At 35.0% G+C, this 24,269-nt stretch overlaps 1 protein-coding gene across 3 annotated transcripts in view, besides 1 other annotated feature; it reads right to left on the reverse strand.

Moving 5' to 3' along the window:
• RAB28 (RAB28, member RAS oncogene family) overlaps positions 1–24,269 on the reverse strand; it is a 116,617-nt gene that overhangs the window by 24,160 nt on the left and 68,188 nt on the right. The gene's annotated exons all lie outside the window — the stretch shown is intronic.
• Positions 23,699–24,209: an enhancer, noted in NCBI's record as "H3K27ac-H3K4me1 hESC enhancer chr4:13417206-13417716 (GRCh37/hg19 assembly coordinates)". NCBI's record gives its function as "activates a minimal SCP1, AML or CMV promoter by ChIP-STARR-seq in primed H9 embryonic stem cells {active_cell/tissue: H9 hESC(primed)}" and the evidence as "EXISTENCE:reporter gene assay evidence [ECO:0000049][PMID:30033119]".

The raw sequence follows: 24,269 nt of genomic DNA on the forward strand, positions 1-24,269 counted from the left end.
ATCACACACCGGGGCCTGTCGGGAGGTGGGGGGCTGGGGGAGGGATAGCATTAGGAGAAATTCCTAATGTAAATGATGAGGCATTTACATTAGGAATTTCATTACATTAGGAACGTATTAGGTATACATTTACCAACATGGCAAATGTATACCTATGTAACAAACCTGCATGTTGTGCACATGTACCCTAGAACTTAAAGTATAATTTTTTAAAAAATTCTGAATCTAAAGTTGTCACTTTTATCCTCCATTTGGCCCTGCTGATTCTAGTGGAACACTAACTCTCTAAATTTATGTGATGGTTCAGAATTTATTCACTTGGATAACTTCCAGGATAAAGTGGCCTGTATATTAGGATATAGAGACAGATTTTGATGAGTAACAGGAAGATTATGATATTAAATAGTAAATAATTCTGATTAAAATTACATTATATCAAATATCTTTATAAAGAAAATGTCCTAACAGTAAAATTTTTTCATATCCCAAGAGATGACCTCTGTTATTATTTTACCAATCCAGAGATGATAGATTATATACAAGAATTTGTCCCATACAAGAAATAACTTTTCTTGACTTTGCATTAAGGTAAATACAGAAGAAACTTGGGTTGAATATAGTTATAGTTCTTCAGTTATTTACAGATTCATCTGGAAAGAAAGTAGTGCAAAGTGATAAAGAATGCACTCTCCAACAGCGTGCAAGCATTCCCTTTCCTCCATATCCTGGCCAGCACTTGTAATCTCTTGTTAATAATAAGGTATTGTATTCTTGGAAGTTGCTAAGAGAATAGATTTTAAGTATTCTCACCACAAAAAAAGATAAGTGTTTTCTTGAACGTTGCTAAGAGAATAGATTTTAAGTGTTTTCACCACAAAAAAATGATAAGTATGTGAGGAAATAAATACGTTAATTAGCTTGATTTAGCCATTACTCAATGTACACATATTTAAAAACATAATGCTGTAAACAATAAATATAGTGAGTGTTCTCATCTATAAAATGAAAACAATAACAATACCTATCTCATAAGGTTGCTATAATGGATAAGATGAATAAATACACAAAAAGCAATGACTAGCATATAGCAAGACATATTGTATGTGCCTGGCATATACTCAATAAGTATTAGCTAGTGTCATTGTGGTTTGTCCATGCATTTATTTACTCACCAACAATTTATGTAGTGCTAAAAGCTGGGAAGGCTAAGAGGGACACAAATAAAAAGATGCTATTCTGAAATCATGAGAGTAACAAAGATCTGTATAAGACAATCTATAACAGGAGTACAGAGACAGGAAACTTCTACAACTGCTTAGGGATGATAGAAGCCATGTCACAGAGAAAGTGATGCTTCAGTTACATACTGAAAGAGGAGAAAAAATCAGTCAGATAGCCTTAAGGATAGAGAGGATGTACATTCTTCTCAAAAGGAATATGTACAAAAGCATCTGAAAGAACCTGGCTTCCAAGAGCTAGTGAAATCAGCAGGGCCTAGGCCTAAGGGTTTTGTGTGCGTTAAGAAGTTTACGTGCGAATAGGTGATCATCTACAAGTTACTCACATATTCCAGCTTACCCAAGAAAAATATATATATAAGCACAAAAAGGGAATTCTTGCAGGTGACATATATCAGCAAACCTTACATTTTCCCTTGTTGGATTTAAATTACTTTCATTGACTACACGGACTGAAAACTCTTTGTTCCAAATTTAGAATCTATTCAAAAGAAAATTTTAAATGACAAAAAATGTTACCCTCCTATAGGTTTTCTGATTATGACATTTTCTTCGGTTTACCCATCTTGTATGCATAATTAACTATATCATAACTTTAAAAATAGAAGATGGCAAGTTTTATACATATTATATACATGCAGCTATTTTTCCTCCTGAAAGTTACTACAGTTCTGCACACTAATCAACCTAAAGTTTATTCAGATTAACTGTAGAGCTATAAAATCACAGGCTACAAAAAAAAAAAAAAAAAAACAGTACATGCACTTCTTTAAAAGAAGTAAAACAATACTTCAAATGTATTAAATAAATATGACCACCTATTATATGTCAAGTACTGTGCTAGTAAGCACAAGGGATAAATTAGGGAGCAATATAGACATTATCTTTACCCTCACATTAATGAGGTAGAAAGAATAAGTGAGCATGTAAATAAATGAGTCAATTACTACAATTATCATAATCTGAAAGTGGAGGAGGCGACCAGATAAGAGAGTAACAGAGTGAAAGAGAGGAGTAGGAATCAGGATAGCAATGACAATTTTACATAGGATAGCCATGGAAGACCTCTTTGATCTGAGATCTAAAGCAGTGGACCCCACCTTTTTGGCACAAGGGACTAGTTTCATGGAAGACAATTTTTCCACAGATGGGGTAGTAGGGGGGCATAATTTTGGGGTAAAACTGCTTCATCTCAGATCATCAGGCATTAATAATGATTTTCATAAGGAACACACAACCTAGATCCCTTGCATGTGCTGTTCATAATAGGGTTCACGCTCCTATGAGAATCTAATGCTGCTGCTGATCTGACAGGAGGTGGAGCTCAGGCAGTAATGCTCACTGTCCACTGCTCACCTCCTGCTGTATGGCTGGGTTCCTAACAGGCCATGTAACAGTAGCAGTCCATGGCCCAGGGGTTGGGAACCCCTGATCTAAAGGGTAAGAATAAACCAAACAAATTAAGAGGTAGTTGGACGAAAAAACTGTTTAAGTCATTGGGACAGGGATGAAAACCTGGAAGAGGAAAAAGACGGAGTACAATTGAGGAAAACAAAGAAGTATAATAAGCAAGAGTGGTACCTATAGCATAATGAGGATATTACTCAAATACAATAATGGAAAACCATTGTAAGGTTGTAACCAACAGCACAATATGATTTTGCATTTTGAAAAAATTACTCTAGCTACCATGAGGAGAAACGATGTCTGAGGACAAAAAAACAAGCAGAGAAACCACTTTAAGAGACTTTTGAAACAATCTAACTCTGTTTAAACATTTACAAAACCCTTTGGGGCCTCATAACAACCTTGGCGAATAGGTAAGCATTATTCCAATTTCACACACACACAAAAACTGAGGTTTAGAATGACTTAACGAAAGTCTCAAATCTAGTCATTAGTAGCACCAGAATTAGAACTATGCTATCTGATTCAAATCCAGCTGGAGGTTCTCAATGAAGAAAGAACATCAACTTTAGGGATGAATTAACAGTCACTTAACAGTCTAAGTTTTATTTAGATTTTTAATTAAAACAATAAAGACAAACTTTAAATAATCACTACTTTAAAAATACGCACTATGATATAGCTGGTTTTATATTTGTAAAACATTAAAAGTATTAATTAGTAACAATAAATCATAAAAACCGGCCCATAAGCATTACAGAACATGATATGCTTTGCCTCATCACTTGATTACACAGTTATTTAAAAAGAACTTGCAGCTGTACATACAAGTTGTGAAACTTTATGTGAAATTACATAAAGTTTAAAAATGATCCATGATTAGCCCAAACATAACAAGCAAAATTCCCTTAATAATTTATTAAATTTGATTCACATGTGGTTAAAATTATATATACACTTTGACTTCTAAAACACACACACACTAATACAAACAGCCAAGTATACAATTACTTTTCTTTTTAGGTACTATTTGTTTACTGGCATTCAAGATTCCTTACTCAGGATCTCCACTGCATCCACCTATATGACTACTGATAACAAGGGAGAGAACGAACAGTCTTAAAAGATACAGTATTAAATGTAATAAATATTTTTAAACTAGACATATCAAATGTATCAGAGCTACTGATAGATTTGTATCAGCTCTGTACATTTCACAGATCAGAGCTACTGATCAGACTAAATGTTATGAAGTTTTAAGTACAATTTCAAAATTCTGAAGCACTTTGTAAGAGTATCTATATTACACTGGCCTGAGGCTTCACAATGTTCCTAGTTTCCCAAGTATTTATTTTCCAACATGCTGTAAGAACATATTCTATAATGAACAAGACTTTTTCATTCAAACCAGAATGTTATTCCATGTATTTTAAAAAGGGAATATATTATCAATTAATTGTATTATTAATGTCTACTTGCTGTCGATGGAAAAAAAAATTAAAATTATAAACTATTTTTGCTCTTCAGTCCATACATAATGGCAGGAACAGAGTATTCTCAGTGAAATGACTGTAAAAAATGTCACTGTCTAACTTAAAAGAAGTAAAAGCAAACTAGTAAAAAATGTCACTGTCTAACTTAAAAGAAGTAAAAGCAAAATATAAATATAGCACTTGTACAGATTTCACAGTAATTTTTAGGTTATCAGGGAAACATCTTGAGTGTTGATCTGGTTATACTCAATTCAAACAAACGACTTGTCACATTAACTACCTCCAGGAAGTTACTCCAAACACAAAATAAACTGTTTATGCCCCTACTCAGATAGATAACATGACAGATTGTTATTAGTTGAAGACAGATGAAATACATTAATTTGATTGTGAGCATGTGTTTAATTTTACCCTGCCATGTACACTCTCTAATGCTGTCTTTCTATGATGACATAGTAAATCATGCCATATTAGAAGAATTGCTAATGCAAGAAAATAAAAAATTAGCAGAACTTGATTTTGACTCTGTAGATTCTTAAACCAACCTTCTTATAAATATAACTGCCTGGAAAATCCACGTGTTCCACAAACAGATGAAGAAAAAAGTTCTCATCAGAGAAAGTACTTTTGTTTCTGGTATAAATTTAAAGACCTCAATGCAGTTTAAAAATTTTCCTGTATACTAGTTTTTACATTTCTTTATAAGATGCCTCTTATTTCCCACTTTCAAAACTGGGTTTTAAGTGTTTACCTTATCAATCTGTGTAAGCACTTTGTATATTAAGGATATCTGCCATATTCACTCCAAACATTCACCTTAGGTTGGCATTCTCCTTTTAAACGTTTCATGAGGGTTTTGAGACATAGAAATTAAGACTTTATGAAGTCAAATATTCTGAGATAATAAGGTTGCTACTTTTAGCCTATACTTATTTGGTTGTTTTGTTACATGCAGCTAAAAACAAAAACCAACAAATTAACAAAGCACATAATAAAACAACCACTCACAAAGTATTTGTTGAGTGAAGAGAAATATTTTTAGGCTCTTAAAATAAATACAAATAATCAATTGTGTCTAAAATAATATGCATGGCTGCATTTTACAGGAATACTACACAGGGCTGAAAATTAATGAACTAGAGTTTCACACCACAATAAGAATGAATCTCACAAAGGTGGTGAGGGCAACATGCAAAGGAATACACATAAATAATTGCATTTATATAAAAATATTAAATGGCAAAACAACATTATTTGATGACACATACACATATTATGAAAATAGAAAAGCAAGAAAAAGATCAAGACTATGGATAGCAGTTACTTCTGAAGGTAGAAGGAGATGGATAAAGGCACCTGTTTGGTTCTGGGGTGCTAGCAATGCTCTATTTCATGACCTGGGAATAGTTATTCTTTAAACCACTTTCCATATTCTTCTGTATGTAAAACAGAAGAACATATATAAAAGTTTCCATTAAAATTTAAATTTAAATCTATTAACATATATTCCTACTAATTATAATAAAAGTCCTACTAAAATTATAACAATATGACATTCTTCTCTTCAAATCCAATTTCTTACATGATCATAAAGAAAGGTCACTGTTGTAATATTTATTCTTGGTTTTTATTATTTTTCACAAGGACCATGATTAATCCTTTAAATCCTCAAATCATACTCTTGTGACCTATCTAAACATGTCATGAAACTTGCGGATTTTCTCTACAATTATTATCACCTGACTCTGCCAGATATTCATTTGTTAATTTCTTTGCTTCTAGCAATTCTCCAGCACTTCTACAGATTTTGCATATTGCTGCAAGGTTTTCCTACTCAAATTGCATTGTGTTTATAGTGTACAATCACATACATATCCACAAACCAACCTATAAGGATTCTAAGGGGATCATAATGAATCTTCATAACTCCAAAGAGTCACCAAAACACCACCAAGAGCAGCAGCCGGTATCAAGCAGACAGAGGAGGGAGCAAGTAAGAAGTCACATTATTTCCTCAATTTCATCAATTAGGTTACCTAAATCCCTTTTAGTAATGGATAATGCATAACTATTTCTCCTCTTGCCTCAGGTTAGAGGAAATAATAGGTCTAAAAGCACTATTGAGTAAGTAAATCCTTTTTATATTTGTGGCTATCTACAACTTTTGTTGCTTGTAAAAAATTTGTGCATATATCATCAAAAGCCTAAAGGAACTGGAAAATTAATAAACTGTCTTTTTATTTTATTCATGTTTTGGGCATTTACCACAAGAATTCCTATCAGACAATTTCAAACTGGCACAGTGCTATAGAGGTTCATTTGCAAACTTCCACATACTAGGTAGATACAATGAGGCCCAAGTTCACTTATACCATTTATACATAGAATTGCATAAAAAAAAGAGTGTATTTGTCTTACCCAGACACTAGCATACCCTGGCATCTCACAAAGTACACAAGCCACAGTAAGACTGTCGGCCGGGCGCGGTGGCTCACGCCTGTAAGCCCAGCACTTTGGGAGGCAAAGATGGGCGGATCACGAGGTCAGGAGATAGAGACCATCCTGGCTAACACGGCGAAACCCCATCTCTACTAAAAATATAAAAAATTAGCCGGGCATGATGGCGGGCGCCTGTAGTCCCAGCTACTCGGGAGGCTGAGGCAGGAGAACGGCGTGAACCTGGGAGGTGGAGCTTGCAGTGAGCCGAGATCGCGCCACTGCACTCCAGCCTGGGTGACAGAGCAAGACTCCGTTTCAAAAAAAAAAAAAAAAGGATTGCCTCAATTAGGCAATTATATTATGGTTATTTAATTCTTCTTTATATTTTCCCATTACCAACAATGACCATATATTATAATTAGCCCTACTGGAAGATGGGGAGAGATAGAACATTATTTAAAGTAACAACAAAGAGTAAACAGAAAACTGCCCAATCACAACAGAATTCAGTGTAATAAGAATTGCACTTACACAGCATCACACTATTCTATAGGCATTTTACACATATTAAATCATTTAATCCTCACTAAAAACATCATTTGACAAATGAGAAAACTGCAGAGAAAGGGATAAAAGACTTTATATACGGGCACACATCTAGTAAGTAGTGGAGCCACAACTCACCCCCAAGGCAGTCTAGCTCCGGAGTCTGTATTCTTAGCTATCACACTGCTTTCTCTTCATATGTGTAGTCATCTGCGTCTGGCATTTTTCGTGCGTATTGTTTCATCCATGTCATCCCAATGAAGTATATACAGTTCATGCATTTGTACTGCCATATAACATACCTTTTTATAAGTCTACCACAATCTATAAATATTTTCTCCAATTGATGAACACAAGTTGTTCCCAACTGTTAAGATACTAACAACAAAGCCATGAATATTCTTACTCAGTACATGTCACCTGATAATATGCCTAGCTGTCTAAGATACATAGCAGAGAACTGCTGAATCATACTCTATGAATGTTCAACTTTGCAGAATGTCAAATTGTTTTCAAAGTAGCTGTACCAATTTATAATCCATCTAGTAGTGACTATGAGTTCCTGTAGATTGACATTATCTGTCACTTGCTTTTCTTAGTCTTCTAGATTTGTGCCAATCTAGAAAGCATAAGAATCTCATGATCTTATTTTGCATTCCTTGATTAGTGATGAGACTCCACTTATATTTATATGTCTTTCTTCTTCCATGAAATTTCTATTTATGTTTTATGTCCTTTTTTTAACGAACGGCCTTTTTCTTGTAGATTTGAAAAAGTATACCAGTCTTTTTCAGTTATTTTGTGTTACACACACCTTCTCCCAGTTTGTGGCTTGTCTTTAATTCTTTACTGTATCATTTCATAGAAACAAATGTTTATCTTCTGTAGTTAATATATCCCATATTTAAATTTAGCAATTATGTATTGTTTAAGAAACCCTTCCACATTCTAAGTAGAAAAGATATTCTTTTATTTTTTTATTCTGTAAAGTTGTGCCATTAACATTGTAGCCCTTAATCTATTTGGAACTGATTTTTGTGCATGGTAATATCCATTTTCTTTTTCTCTATAAAAATAACAGCTATCCTAGGACTACTTATTAAGCATTCTCTTCTTTCTCAAAGATCTTCTATATCACCTCCACTATAATATCCAAGTTCCACTTATGTGAGGATTTGTTTCCAGTGTCTCAATCCTGTTTACTTGGATGAATTCCCTATTGTCTTTATAAAAGCTGTTGCTAGTAAGTCTTGATAACTGGCATGGCAAATGCTTCTCAGAAGCATATTCTTATTCTTGGATTTTTCATCTTCCCTATACATTTTAGATACAGTTTGCTTAAATACCACACACAAATACCATTTGGAGTTTTGACTGAAATTATGCTGAAGGGATAAATCAATCTGAAGAGAAGTGACATCTTTATAATATTGAGTCTTTGTATCCTTGAAAATGGTGTTTGCTGTCTTTCATTTAGGTCTTGTTTTATCATTTGAGAATTTTGTAGTTTTATTTCTTCCTTTTCAATTTGTATGTTTTATATACCTTTTTCTTGCAGTTTTATAATAGCTAGGACCTTAAAAATAGTGTTGAATAGGAGAGGTGGAAGTGAATCTCCTTACCTTGTACCTAATCTTAGGTGGAAAGCAAATTCACTATTTCATCATTAAGTATGACATTAATTGTAGGGTTTTCACAGATGCCATTTATGAAGTTGAAGAAGTTTCTTCTCATTTTCTCATTCCTGATTTGCTGAGACTTTTATTAACTATAAATGGATGCTGAATTTTATCAAATGCTTTTTATGTTTCTGTTGAGATCACCATATGGCTTATTTAGCCTACTGATATGGTAAGCTACATTAAATAATTTCAAATATTACACCAGCACTGCATTTCCAGGATAAACTCCACTTGGTCATAATATAGTACCCTTTGTATTGCTTGATTCAATTTGTTAATATTTTGTCAAAGGAATCTTTTGTATTTATGTTCATGAGGAATATTGGTCTGTAGTTTTCTTACAGTGTCTTTATCTGATTTTAATAGATTATTATATCGGTGTCATAAAATAAGTTGGGAGGTATTCCAACACCTTTGGTTTTCTGGAAAAGTTTATATACAATTAGTATTATTTCTTCCATACATGTTTGGTAGAATTTACCAGTAAAACCTTCTGGATCCACAGTATTCTTTGTAGTATTCTTTGTGGAAACATTCCAAATTATGAATTCAACTTTTTTCATAAATGCAGAAGTATTCAGATTATCTATTTCTAGAGTGAACTTAGTTTGTGTCTTTAAAGGAATTTGTTCATTTAATGAGAACACATGGACACAGGGAGGGGAAAATCACATACCATGGCCTGTTGCGGGGAGGGAGCTAGGGGAGGGATAGCATTAGGAGAAATACCTAATGTAGGTGACGGGTTGATGGGTGCAGCAAACCACTATGGCATGTGTAAAACTACGTAACAAAACTGCACATTCTGCACATGTACCCCAGAACTTAAAGTAAAATAATTTTAAAAAAAATTGTTAAGGAATTTGTTCGTTTAATCTAAATTGTCAATTAACAGAAGTAAATATTTTTGTGATATTTGCTTACATTCCCTTTAATGCCTAAGAATTTGTAATGATTTCTTCTCTTTCATTCCTGACAGTGTAATTTGTATGTTCTCTCTTTTTTTATTGTCATTTTGGCTAGAGATTTATCAGTTTTATTAATCTTTTCAAAGAATCAGCTTTTGATTTCATTGATTTCTCTATTTTTTTAATTTCTACTCTTACCTTTACTTTTTTCTTTTTCTGCTCACTTGCCTTTCATTTTCGATATTCTTAAGGTGGAAACTTACATCACTGATTTTGAAAACTTAGTTTTTCAAGTATAAGCATTTAATAATGCTAGACATATTTCTCTAAACACTGCATTGGCAGCATGCCATAAAGTTTTAAATGTAGTCTTTTTATTTTTGTTCAATTCAATGTATTTCCTCTTTGGCCCACAGGCTGTTTAGGAGGTGTTCAAATTCTTAATATTTGGGAATATTACAAATATGTTTTTCTGTTACTGATTTCTAGCTTAATTCCATTATTGTCAGAGAAGACATTAAATTCTTTTAAATTTGTTAATGTTCTTTTTATATGGAAGAATATGGTCTATCTTGATAAATACTTCATCTGCACTTGAAAGCATATATTCTTCTGTTGTCAGATGGAACGTTCTGTAAATGTCTATTAGGTCTAGCTGACCGATGTTGTTCATGCCTTCTATATCCCTACTGATTCTCAGTCTACTTGTTACACCAGTTATTGATAAAACATGTAGACATTGATAAAGGATTGTTGAAATCTCAGATTCAATGGTAGGTTTGTCTATTTAACCTTTCTGTTCTATCAGTTTTTGCTTTGTGCAAGTTCTGCTGCGTTTATATACATTTAGAATTGTTATACCTTTTTGTGAACTGACCCTTTGATCAATATGTAATGTCCTCCCTTATCGCTACAAAATTCCTTGTTTCTCATGTTAATATAGTTACTTCAACTTTCTTTTGATTAGTCTTTGCAAAATATACCTTTTCCCATCCTTCTATTTCTAAGCTACCTGTATCTTCATATTTAAAGTAGATTTTTATAGACTGTATATAGTAGTCGGGTCTTGCTTTTCTATCCAATATGATTATTTCTATATTTTAATTGATATATTTAGACCAGATATTAGCAAACATTTTCTGTAAGGGGCCAGATAGTAAATATTTTAGGCTTTCTGCCTCATATATTATTATTATTTTTTTATTATTATTATTTTGAAACAGGGTCTCACGCTGTCTCCCAGGCTGAAGTACAATGGCGTGATCACGGCTCACTGCAGCCTTTGCCTCCCAGTCTCAAGCTATCCTCCCGCCTCACCTCTCAAGTAGCTGGGAACACAGGCACATGCCACTGCACCCGGATAATTTCTGTATATTTTTGTAGGAAAGGGGTTTTGTCATGTGGCCTTGGCTGATCTCGAACTCCTGAGCTCTGATTATCCACCCACCTCGGCCTGCCAAAGTGCTGGGATTACAGGTGTGAGTCAGTGCGCCCGGACCCTGGCTCACATATTCTTTGAAGTAACTAATGAATTCTGCTTTTTTAGTGAAAAAGCAGTCCTAGGAAAGACAGAAACAGATAAGTGTGGCTCTATTCCTATAAAACTATTTATGGACATTAAATTTTGATATTCATATAATTTTCAGGTGTCATAAATTACACGTTTTGTTTACATTTTTCCTGTGATTAAAAGATGTAACAAGCATTCTTAGATAGCAGGTCATAGAAAAACAGGTCATGGGTCATAGTTTGCTGACTTGTGTCTATACCTCTGGCTCAAAAACCTTTAGTGGCTTTCTATAGCTCTTGTGAAAAATCCAAACTCCTTAAACGATTTTGTCTATTTCTCAACTGTTCCTGCCTTGCACTCTGTTCCACTTGTCACAAAATGTTGCCAAGTCCCCTTATATTCCAGACTATTTGCTAACTTCAGCAGTTTTATTCGTTCTTTTATTTCTTCTTAGACTGTCCTTTCTCACCCTTCTCTTTATGGCATATTCCTGCATATTGCTTAAGATTCTGTTTCAGTATTATGTATGCTATAAAATCTTCCTTGCCCACTGCTTCCTGTAAAGTGCCCCGGCGTACCAAGTACATCATTTTAAGATAATGCTATCATACTGTGTCTCCTACTATTATGCTTGGTATATAAAAGGCAATCATGAATGAGTAAATAAATGAATGAATACTTTAAAATCTAAGAAAATTGAATGTGTGCAAATGTTTATAATACATAAGAACAAAGTCAAATTCCAACATAGTTATACATGTATAATCATCAAAATGCATTTAGCCAAATTAATTTTAGAAAAGTTTTTAAATTCCCATAAAAATGAAACCATTGTCTCAATTATAAAATATTCCTTAGATTTTAATATTAAACTGTAATGTAACAAACTCTCAGAAGATGGTGCTAGTTCAATATGACAATAAGCCAATAAATAAATAATAAGACAACTGTTCAAGAAAATGATTTCTCTAAAAAAATAATGGATCTTCTTGGCCGGGCCAGTACCTCATGCCTCTAATCCCAGCACTGTGGGAGGCCAAGGCGGGAGGATCACCTGAGGTCAGGAGTTTGAGACCAGCCTGACCAACATGGAGAAACCCCATCTCCACTAAAAATACACAATTAGCCAGGCGGGGTGGCGCATGCCTATAATCCCAGCTACTTGGGAGGCTGAGGCAGGAGAATCACTTGAACTTGGGAGGCAGAGGTTGCAGTGAGCCGAGATCACACCATTGCACTCCAGCCTGGGCAACAAGAGCGAAACTCCATTTCAGAAAATAAAATAAAATAAAATAAATAATGGATCTACTTAAGGAAAAGTTACAAGTAAAGATATTCCTAACAGAAAACCACTTTTGAAAGAGGAACAATCCATTCCTCAATCTAAAATTAAACACAAAATTTAATCAATTTTCACAAATTTTTATAAAAATATAGAATAATGATCAGTAAACTATACTGCATAAAAAGGAAAAAATCCTGAAGAAAGAAGGAGCTTAATTTCAAACCTAGAAATATTCTAGGCTTCAAACATCTCCATTGCAAAGAATTCAGTTCATTGTCTCAATATATTAGCATATCAAATTATAACTTATGGATATATAAATGGCAGTGGTAGGGAGGAAGTTGGAATATGGAAGGAAACAAAATTATACCAATCAACTCTGATGTCCATTTTTAAACCAAAGAATACTTTTTTTACAGAAACTAAAATGAACAAATTCAGTTAATATCTTTTAACAATACTAACCAGTTTTTTTGTTGGTTTTCAGTTACCCACCATTTTGTTTCGTTTTTGTTAAGAAGGAACTGTCACTCTGTACTTTTTTTTTTTTTTTGGTTATTCCCAAATTACAGAAAATTCTAAAACAGAATTTAATAATCACTCCTAAAGATTTTTAAACCCCACATTCAGGTATTTATTTTTAAAAGATCCAACATATTTGTGTAGAATACCTCTGTCTCCTAACGAGAATTTAAACCCATACTTGAGAAGTAAATGGTTTGTGCTGGAAAATCAGCTGAAAATTTTCTAAATTGGGAGGAGAAAAACATAGCCAAAATCCCAATCTAAGAATATCTGATTTAAAACTAGCAGTCCTTCTTTCTTTTACTGGGGTATATTACTAAATGATACATTTTAACTTTGAAACACATATAGCACATTGTGCTTATTTAAAATTAAGCCCGAGAAGTGTATCTCATGGGTGCAATATGTTCTATGAAGCTGAAACAATAAACATACGAGTTGATACTGAAAAGCAGTAAAAGAAAGCTGTCAGCCTATAAGAAATACATAGTAAATTAAAGAAACTAAAGATAATATACTTGAAAACTACAGTTCTTTGGATAGATAACTGTTCTTATGTTAATGAATCATCTAGTCCTAATTGAAACTCATAACATAGACTCCTTTCACTGACTACAAGATTAAAAACTTTAAATCAGAAAACTTGACAAGCGTCTTTCCCAATATTTGTCAGAAATACAATCAGCATTTATGAATAAAATTCATAAATTTCTCAATAAATATTGTAATCATGGGAGAGCAATAAAAGAGGAACTACTGAACCCTGATTTCCATTTTTCAGAATATTCACTATTTGAAGAACAGAGGAAGATTACACTGTGAGAATTCAGAACAAATAAACATTATAGCTTTTCATGATAGAGCACTAACAAGAATTTTCTATTCCTCAACAGCCAATTCTCTCACTTTCTTGGTTTACTGAGATCTATTATTCATTTAAGTTTGCCTTCTGATTCATTTTCACCTTTATAATATATTGTAAAAGTTATTTTTTAAGTTCAAAAATAATTATAAATAGAAAAATGAGAAAACTATGGGAAATCCAATCAATGGAAACTCTAGGTAGCTCTACAAAACAGAACCTTTTTAAAATTATTATTATACTTTTAAGTTTTGGGACACATGTGCAGAACATGCAGGTTTGTTACACAGGTATACATGTGCCATGGTGGTTTGCTGCACCCATCAACTCGTCATCTACATTAGGTATTTCTCCTAACACTATCCCTCTCCTAGCCCCCCACCCCGCTACAGGCCCCGGTGTGTGATGTTCCCCTCCCTGTGTCCATGTGTTCTTATTGTTCAACTCCCACTTATGAGTGAGAACATGCAGTGTTTGGTTTTCTGTTACTCTGTTAGTTTGCTGAGAATGATGGTTTCCAGCTTCATCCATGTCCCTGCAAAGGACATGAGCTCATCCTTTTTCATGGCTGCATAGTATTCCATGGTGTATATATAACACATTTTCTTTATCCAGTCTACCATTGGTGGGCATTTGGGATGGTTCCAAGTCTTTACTATTGTGAATAGTGCCGCAATAAACATAGGTGTGTATGTGTCTTTATAGTAGAATGATTTATAGTCCTTTGGGTATATACCCAGTAATGGAACTGCTGGGTCAAATGGTATTTCTGGTTCTAGACCATTGAGGAATCGCCACACTGTCTTCCACAATGGTTGAACTAGTTTACACTCCCACCAACAGTGTAAAAGTGTTCCTATTTCTCCACATCCTCTCCAGCATCTGTTGTTTCCTGACTTTTTAAAGATCGCCATTCTAACTGGCATGAGATGGTATCTCATTGTGGTTTTGATATGCATTTCTCTAATGACCAGTGATGAAGAGCTTTTTTCATATAACTATTGGCTGCATAAATGTCTTCTTTTGAGAAGTGTCTGTTTATATCCTTTGCCCACTTTTTGATGGGGTTGTTTTTTTCTTGTAAATTTGTTTAAGTTCCTTGTAGATTCTGGATATTAGCCCTTTGTCAAATGGATAGATTTGCAAAAATTTTCTCCCATTCTATAGGTTGCCTGTTCACTCTGATGATAGTTTCTTTTGCTGTGCAGAAGCTCTTTAGTTTAATTAGATCACATTTGTCAATTTTGGCTTTTGTTGCCATTGCTTTTGGGGTTTTAGTCATGAAGTCATGAAGTCTTTGCCCAAGCCTATTTCCTGAATGATATTGCCTAGGTTTTCTTCTAGGGTATTTATGGTTTTAGGTCTAACATTTAAGTCTTTAATCATTCTTGAATTAATTTTTGTATAAGGTGTAAGGAAGAGGTCCAGTTTCAGTTTTCTGCATATGGCTAGCCAGTTTTCCCAACACCATTTATTAAACAGAGAATCCTTTCCCCATTACTTGTTTTTGTCAGGTTTCTCAAAGATCAGATGGTTGTAGATGTGTGGCGTTATTTCTGAGGCCTCTGTTCTGTTCCATTGGTCTGTATATCTGTTTTGGTACCAGTACCACATTGTTTTGGTTACTGCAGCCCCGTAGTAGGATTTGAAGTCAGGTAGCGTGATGCTTCCAGCTTTGTTCTGTTTGCTTCGGATTGTCTTGCCTATATGGGCTCTTTTTTGGTTCTGTATGAACTTTAAAGTAGTTTTTTTCTAATTCTGTGAAGAAAGTCAATGGTAGCTTGATGGGGATGGCATTGAATCTATAAATCACTTTGGGCGATATGGCCACTTTCGCGATATTGATTCTTCCTATGAATGAGCATGGAATGTTTTTCCATTTGTTTGTGTCCTCTCATTTCCTTAAGCAGTGGTTTGTAGTTCTCCTTGAAGAGGTCCTTTACATTCTTTGTAAGTTGTATTCCTAGGCATTTTATTCTCTTTTTGAATGGGAGTTCAATTGTGAATGGAAGTTCACTCATGATTTGGCTCTCTGTTTGTCTATTATTGGCGTACAGGAATGCCTGCAATTTTTGCACATTGATTTTGTGTCCTGAGACTTTGCTGAAGTTGCTCACCAGCTTAAGGAGATTTTGGGCTGAGATGATGGGGTTTTCTAAATATACAATCATGTCATCTGCAAACAGAGACAATTCGACTTCTCTTCCTATTTGAATACCCTTTATTTCTTTCTCTTGCCTGATTGCCCTGGCCAGAACTTCCAATACTATGTCGAATAGGAGTGGTGAGAGAGGAATCCTTGTCTTGTGCTGGTTTTCAAAGGGAATGCTTCCAGCTTTTGCCCATTCAGTATGATATTGGCTGTGGGTTTGTCATAAATAGCTCTTATTATTTTGAGATACCTTCCATCAGTACCTTGTTTATTGAAAGTTTTTAGCACTAAGGGTTGTTGAATTTTGTCAAAGGCCTTTTCTGCATCTATTGAGATAATCATGTGGTTTTTGTCATTGGTTCTGTTTATGTGATGGAATACATTTATTGATTTGCACATGTTGAACCACCCTTGCATCCCAAGGATGAAGCCAACTTGATCGTGGTGGGTAAGCTCTTAGATGTGCTGCTGGATTTGCTTTGCCAGTATCTTATCGAGGATTTTCAAACTGATGGTCATCAGGGATATTGGCTTGAAATTTTCTTTTTTTGTGTGTGTCTCTGCCAGGTTTTGGTATCAGGATGATGCTGGCCTCATAAAATGAGTTAAGGGAGGAGTCGCACTTTTTCTATTGCTTGGAATAGCAAAACAGAGCTTTTTAAAACTCTGCATAATAAGAAAAAAAAGCGGGCTAAAATCCTTGAGGGAAAAAATTGCATGTGCAAAAAAAATGAAAAAAATTCAAGTACTAACAAGTGATTGGCTGTATGAGATGCAAGTATGAGTGATTTTTTTTCTTCATAAGTTCCTGAATTTTCTAAATTTTATAAATTGACTATATACTGATCATTCTCTACTTTAAAATCCTAAAAAAGGCATTACAAAATAATTAAAGAATAATTCCCACTCCATCAGTGTTTTAGAACACATTATACAAATGATGTATTTTAAATAATTTGCCATGCTAACATTTCAATGATATAAATATATTTTGATAAGTTAATTAAAAAGCATATCAATGATATCTTGCATGCTAAGAAGTTATGAAGTTATTCCACAAATATTTAATAGTAATTCTAATTAAAATTTAATATTTTGGGACCTCTCTATTTGCTTTATTATACTGTCTTTTAGACATAAGCACCTCAGAGGAAAATAAAGCATTATACTAAAATCTCATGTGGGGTCAAAAGTGACATTAATTAACCAGTATGCCTACAAACAATTCTGCCTATTTCGAACAAATCCAAGTCACCCTCAAAAAGCAAAATACATTACCTCTGATAGTAAATAATCATGAAAAAACAAGACACTGAAATCAATTCCAACGAAGAATCACTTGTTACTGAAAAAGGTGCTCAAATTTCACACTTGCCAAAAAGATAAGTCTTAGGCGGTACATTATAATTGATTCCATCATAATACATTATATGTCTATAGCATAACGTAAAAATATGTCTGAATGTTAGTTGTTAACAAGAACTAGCAATGACAAACCTGAACTCACACCTGGCTCTCACCAACTCTAATCCTGATACCAAGGGTGACCTATGAGAGAAGCTTGCACCAATCACTGGAGAGCTGCACAAGCAGTGCAAGTACTCAGAGAAGCTGATGGGAGAGATCTGGCAGGAGCTGGAGGAAATGCAGGAACTGCTGGTCCACATGATTTCTCACATCTATAAGGTCAGCTAGCAAATCAGTTACAAGGAGTGAGAGCTACTACCATACCTGTTACTTAGGACTGACCCTCAAAGGGTCAAAAAGTATGCCTAACACTTCACTTCCTCCTTATAAATCATGCAAAATGTCTCTTGTGGCCAATGCTAACCAGAACAATACAGATGAAGAAATTTTGGAAACATATTTCCACTTTAGCCAAATTAACCAAATACAGTGCCACCACAGAAAGAAACAGGTCCCTGCCTGCTATAATTTGGCTTTGTGTCCCCACCCAAATCTCATGCTAAATTGTGATCCTGAGTGCTGGAGGTGGGGCCTGGTAGGAGGTGACTGGATCATGGGAGTGGTTTCTAATAGTTTAGCACCATCCCCCTAGTGCTATCTCGTGATGGAATACTCATGAGATCTGCTTGTTTTTAAAAGTGTGTAGCACCTCCCCCTACTCCCACTGCCATGTGAAGACATGCTTGCTTCCCCTTTGCTTTCCACCATGATTTTAAGTTCCCTGAGACCTCCCCAGCCATGTTTCCTGTACAGCCTACGGGACTTTGAGTCTATTAAACCTCTTTTCTTTATAAATTACCCAGTTTCAGGTAGTTCTTTATAGCAGTGTAAGAACAGTCTAATATAGTATCCCCATGAAACAATAAGCTGATAAACACGTATAAAGGAAGAACAGCTGGATAGAGCAGTAAAATCCCCTAAATCAGTCCAAGGAAATTCCTTCCTGACTCCTACAACGGATAAGGGTCTTAGTTTGCCAATCTAGTACCTACCTACCATTAGAAGCCTGATTGCCGGTATGTTACCAATACTCTACACTCAGGGTGAAATATATTGCAAACCCCACAAGTCAGCATTCAGGAAAAAATTTCTAAGGTAATAACTTAGAAAGTTTGCTTTCAAGATAAGAGCTGCAAAAAAATAAATAAATAAATAAAACTCAACAGGGACCTTGGTAATAAATTTTAAAAGCCTTATCAGCTCCTATCAGATCTTAAACAATCAAAAATATGAATGTGAGGCCACAGAGCTGTCAACCCTCAAGCAAACAGTCAATAAAGAAAATAAAGAACAATGCAAAAGAAAAAACTGTGTGTGTGGTAGCGTTACAATCAACATTGTAAAAATAAGGCAAGAACAGGCTAAGGTAAGGAAAAGAAGGTTCCATCTTCATATTTAAATAGGAATAAGTAAAGTCTTTAGAACTTAAAGGTCTCTGTATTGTTCTGGTTAATTTAGGAGCCATAAAGAATGTCTGTGGCAGCTCAAATGCCTGTGTAATAGAAAGAAAAAATAAAAGAAAGGGAGAAATAATAAAACAAGTGCACCTAAATTTTCCTGCTGATATAAAGACACAGGTTTTAAAGACGGATAAAAGCCATCCAGATACCACAGGCATTAATTTAAAAAAGATCCAAACAACATGATAAATTTCCCAATACTCCAAAGAAACAGAGAAAAAAATCCTATAAACTCAATGAGAGGGAAAAATACATAAGAATCAAGACTACTATCAGATTTTTTTCATTTTCAATATTAAATACCAAAACACAACAGAACAATGACTATAGGTTATAAGGAGAAAAAGATTCTGAACAAAAAAACAGCCCAAACTATTGTTCAAATGTCGGCAAAATAATAAATTTTCAGACAACAAAGACAGAAGAAACATTAATTAATACAACTTTTGTGAATAAATAGCTGATGTACTCAGGCAAAACAAAAAGTTGGTCCATTAAAAAGTTCATTGAATGCAAGCAAAGCTGATGAAAAAAGAAGCCAAGGAAACCCAGTGATATGTGATATGATATGAAGCATATTGTAAAACTAATGTAAACTTAATAACAATCTGACAAGAAAAATTAAGATTAACAAAAATCTAAATATGAAGTAGAAGGTAAAAATCAAAAGTACAAGCATACTTGTGTTATTTTGGCTGAAGGCCATAGACACTGATTGTTTATGTTGCTAGGGAAATTCCAAATTACATATTAAATGTAATAATTTAACACAAATATTAAATGTTATTTAACTAAGAGTAATTTACTGTTAAAACATATTTTAAAAATAAAATCAGATTAATTATAATTGGAAAATAAAGAATATAATTTAAAAGAAAAATTTCCAAATCTCTAGGGGGAAAAATAAGTTTTTAAAATGTTAATTGATTACAAAAACAAGGGAGGAGAAAAAAGAAAAATGTATTAGACAAATGATAGACTGAAAAATAAGATCAAATATACCATGATCTAATTAATGAAATGAATTCAATAACCCACTTAACAGGCAAAGAAAAAACACAAGGCTTTTATCTATATAAATTATGAGAGACAAAATGATTCTAAAATGTTTTTAGGATTTTACTGTGTCAGGGTCAGATAGTTTAGTTTTCCATTCAAAAGTCAAAAAAAAAAAAAAGATAAATGAAAATTTCTCCTTTGCTGAACCTATGAAACATCTACAGCCCCTACACCACAATTTGTTGAAGAAGGGAGCAAATTCAGTCAAGGTAAACAAAAAGGGCTGACACATGTAAAATCAAGAAAGGATGACTATGGTTAAGAGCGTAAAAGCTAACAGAGGAGAGCTATCCAGACTGCAAAACACAGAAAACTCCTTTAGAACATCCAGAACTTCTGAGATCCAGGTGGCGCAAGAGTTTCCCTAGATCACAACAGACCAAAGCATCAATGCTCAGATTGCTAGTAAGCAATCTGTTCATATATTCAGGAGAGCTGGGGGTGGGAGGAGAAGTGGGGATCTATACACCGCAAGCAACTATCTAATGTCAATCTGTGGCTGGGGGGAAGAACAATTAAAATATATATTCTCACACAAACAACCCTGTGTCGTAAGAAAAATTATTCTTAACCTAGAACATGGCCTTGACCTCTCTGTTCTAAGAGCCTCTTTAAAAAGACTGGCAAAAAAGGAGAGAGAAGTAGGGAAGATTTGGGGGAGTAGGAGGAGGGTGAGTTGCTGCGGGAAAAAATTTACCTCACTAAAAAGTGAAGAATAATAATACAGGAATCAGCACAGACTTTATACAAAGGCACAACAAGAAAACAAAAAGAATAAGAAAAAAACTAAAGACAAAGAGACTTACAGGAAATGAGTAGCCATGGAGCAAATGAAAGTTGTGACTAAATATTACCATATATTTTTAAAACTTAATTACACAACTACTTCTATAAAATAAGAAAGCAGAGATACAAAAACTCAGAGAAGTTATGGTAAGATAATAGGAAGTGATGAAACCTGAGCAAATAGCTTAAAAAGATACTGAAGAAATCAAAGCTAAATTAGAAGCAGCAGAAAAAGACACTACTGAAAAGATAAGGGACATGAAAGACAAGATTGAGAAATGCAACTACAAGGAAATAAAAACTTAAAAAGTGTAAAAAGGAGAGAAAAAAATATAGAAGACAAGCAAATATCTAATATGCAGATAACTGGTGTCCCCGAAAAAATAACAGAACAGAAAAAAATAATTTCACAAAAAAATGGAAGGATTTAAATCTATTTGTTTGAAAGGTATATGTTATCCATCAATCTCTCCACCCCAATAAACAGATACAGAATAATCAATACATATCAATGTATCTTATCTTGAAATCTAAGAAAGAATCTTTGGGACATACTGACAAAAAATTTAAGTCATTAATTATAATATTAAAAAATCAAACTTTCCTTAGACTTTTTGAAATTCAATACTGAAAAACAGCATGGTGACACAGACTTCTGAAGGAAATAAAGTGTGGCAAACTAATCTGCTGTCCAGCCAGTATGTTATTTAAACTTAAAACCAAGAATATTTCTGCACATGCAGTAACTCAAGGAATAAAGATCCTAGCAGCCCTTCTTTGTAAAAAGAAGACTACTCTTTATTCGGCTCTTGTCACACTATTTAATAGTACCCGCAGAGAAAAAAGCATAAAGTTTTAAGAGAGAAAATGAACCCAAAATTAATGAACCCGCAGAGAAAAAGCATAAAGTTTTAAGAGAGAAAATGAATGTTTTAAAAATTATGCATGATGTATAAAAACAAAAGATAGTAATAAATAAGAAAAGAAGAGATAGTTTTTTTATAAATTAGGAATGGAAAAAAGGGGATATAATCCCAGATGAGGAAGGGATTTTTAAAGACAGAGAATGCCAAGTATAACTTTATTCCAATAAACTTGTGCTAAAATGTTCAGACCCACAAAAATGACCACAGGCCACATTTGGCATAAGTCTATTCCAAAATATAGAAGACAAGAACTATAGCTTGCCAGCTGGCCAGCATCTAGTCTTTCTCAGAGGGAAACTACAGATTACACAGCAGTCTAGGAGCTATTTTCTCCTCAAGTGACAGCACAAATATGAGCATATGACAATGACACATGGGTATATGGTCAGCTCAGAAGCCCCGTTCCACAAGAGCCAATTTCTCTTGTAACATTCCATAAGCAAAGATTCCAGAGCCCCTCCAAATGACAAGCCACGCACGAGTCTCTGCACTCAGAAAAGCCCAAAAGCTACGGTTTCTAACAGTATTTATAGTTCATCTCTGGTCCCTCCCAGTCCAGCTGTTATTAACTAATCAGGTTTCATTTTTATCATAAAAATGTTCTGCAGTAATGTTATTGACACATACTACCTTAACAGGTTACCACGGGAACAGAGCTACATTGTTTAATTGAAGATCAGACACTTAAGCTGTAAGGGAAAGTCATTTGGCCATGCACCCATAATTCAAAAATCTAGATCAAATCATCCATGAAAATATAAATAACCCAAACTGACTGGGAATAAAAGAAGCAACACCAAATTCTCGTATCAAAGGGGAACTATAACAGGTAGTAAAAGATCTAACTCCAAAAGAGGTACCAAAATCCTGATGATTTTATAAATAAGTTATACCATACCTTCCGAAAATATAGTTCCTATGTCACTTCAACCAACTACAGTAAACAGAAACATATGGGGTATTTCCCAATTCATTTATGAAGCTGACATAATCTTGGTACTAAAACCAGACAAGGCTGGTACAAACTTCAGACCAATCTCATTTAAAAGCAAAGATTGTACATAAAACATTAAATTGTATCTAGCAGTATATAAAAGAAAATATGCTGTGACAAAAAAAGTTTAATTTAGGAATTACAAGGCTGGTTTAACATTAGATCTTTTTATGTAATCCATTATGAATAAGCAAAATGAGGAAAACATCATATATGCCTTCATTAAATAAAATTTAACTCATGTTCTTAATATGAAGATGAATAGGACAGGATGAAAACCAACTTCCTTAATTTGATAAAGAATACCAATTAGAAGCCAAAAACAAAATTCCTACTGAATGATAAAATACTAAATAAGGCAATTCTTATAAAGTCAGTATTAAGGGTTCTTGGTATCACAGTAGTTATTCAAAACTGTTCAAGAATTTTAGACAATTCAGTAAGATAAAAATAAGATGTAAGCTATAGGTAAGGAAGAAGAATCATCATTAATTGCAGATATAATGACATCATCAAAAGAGACTATCAGAGACTGACTTTTTAAAATATGCTGACTCAATTCACAATCACATATAAATGCTGAAAATATGTAAGTAGTATTGAGAGTTGACAGCATGCTGGCAGCCCTCACAGCCCTTGCTCACTCTCGGGGCCTCTCTGCCTGAGCTCCCACTTTGGCGGCACTTGAGGAAGTGCCCGCCGCTGGGCTGTTGGAGCCCCTTCCTGGGCTGGCTGAGGCCGGAGCCGGCTCCCTCAGCTTGCAGGGAGGTGTGGAGGGAGAGGCGCAGGCGGGAACCGGGGCTGCGCGGTGCTTGCAGGCCAGTGCAAGTTCAGGGTGAGTGTGGGCTCAGCGGGCTGCACTCAGAGCGCCCGGCCAGCCCTGCCGGCCCGGGCAATGAGGAGCTTAGCACCCAGGCCAGTGGCTGCAGAGGGTGTGCTGGGTCCCCCAGCAGTGCCGGCCCACTGGCACTGCGCTCGATTTCTTGCCGGGCCTTAGCTGCCTGCAGCCCGCCATGCCTGAGCCTCCCCCGCCCCCTCCAACCACGCCACCCTGGGCTCCTGTGTGGCCCAAGCCTCCCCAACGAGCACCATCCCCTGCTCTACGGCGCCCGGTCCCAATGACCACGCAAAGGCTGAGGCGTGCGGGCGCACGGCATGGGACTGGCAGGCAGCTCCACCTGCAGCCCCAGTGCAGGATCCACTGGGTGAAGCCAGCTGGGCTCCTGACTGGTGGGGACTTGGAGAACCTTTATGTCTAGCTAGGGGATTGTAAATACACCAATCGGCACTCTGTATCTAGCTCAAGGTTTGTAAACACACCAATCAGCACCTTGTGTCTGGCTCAGGGTTTGTGAATGTACCAATCGACACTCTGTATCTAGCTACTCTGTTAGGGACTTGGAGAACCTTTGTGTCTAGCTCAGGGATTGTAAACACACCAATCAGCACCCTGTCAAAACAGACTCGGCTCTCTGTAAAATGGAGCAATCAGCAGGATGTGGGTGGGGCCAGATAAGAAAATAAAAGCAG

Source organism: Homo sapiens, chromosome 4 (genome assembly GCF_000001405.40).
Source record: "Homo sapiens chromosome 4, GRCh38.p14 Primary Assembly".
Taxonomy (NCBI): domain Eukaryota; kingdom Metazoa; phylum Chordata; class Mammalia; order Primates; family Hominidae; genus Homo; species Homo sapiens.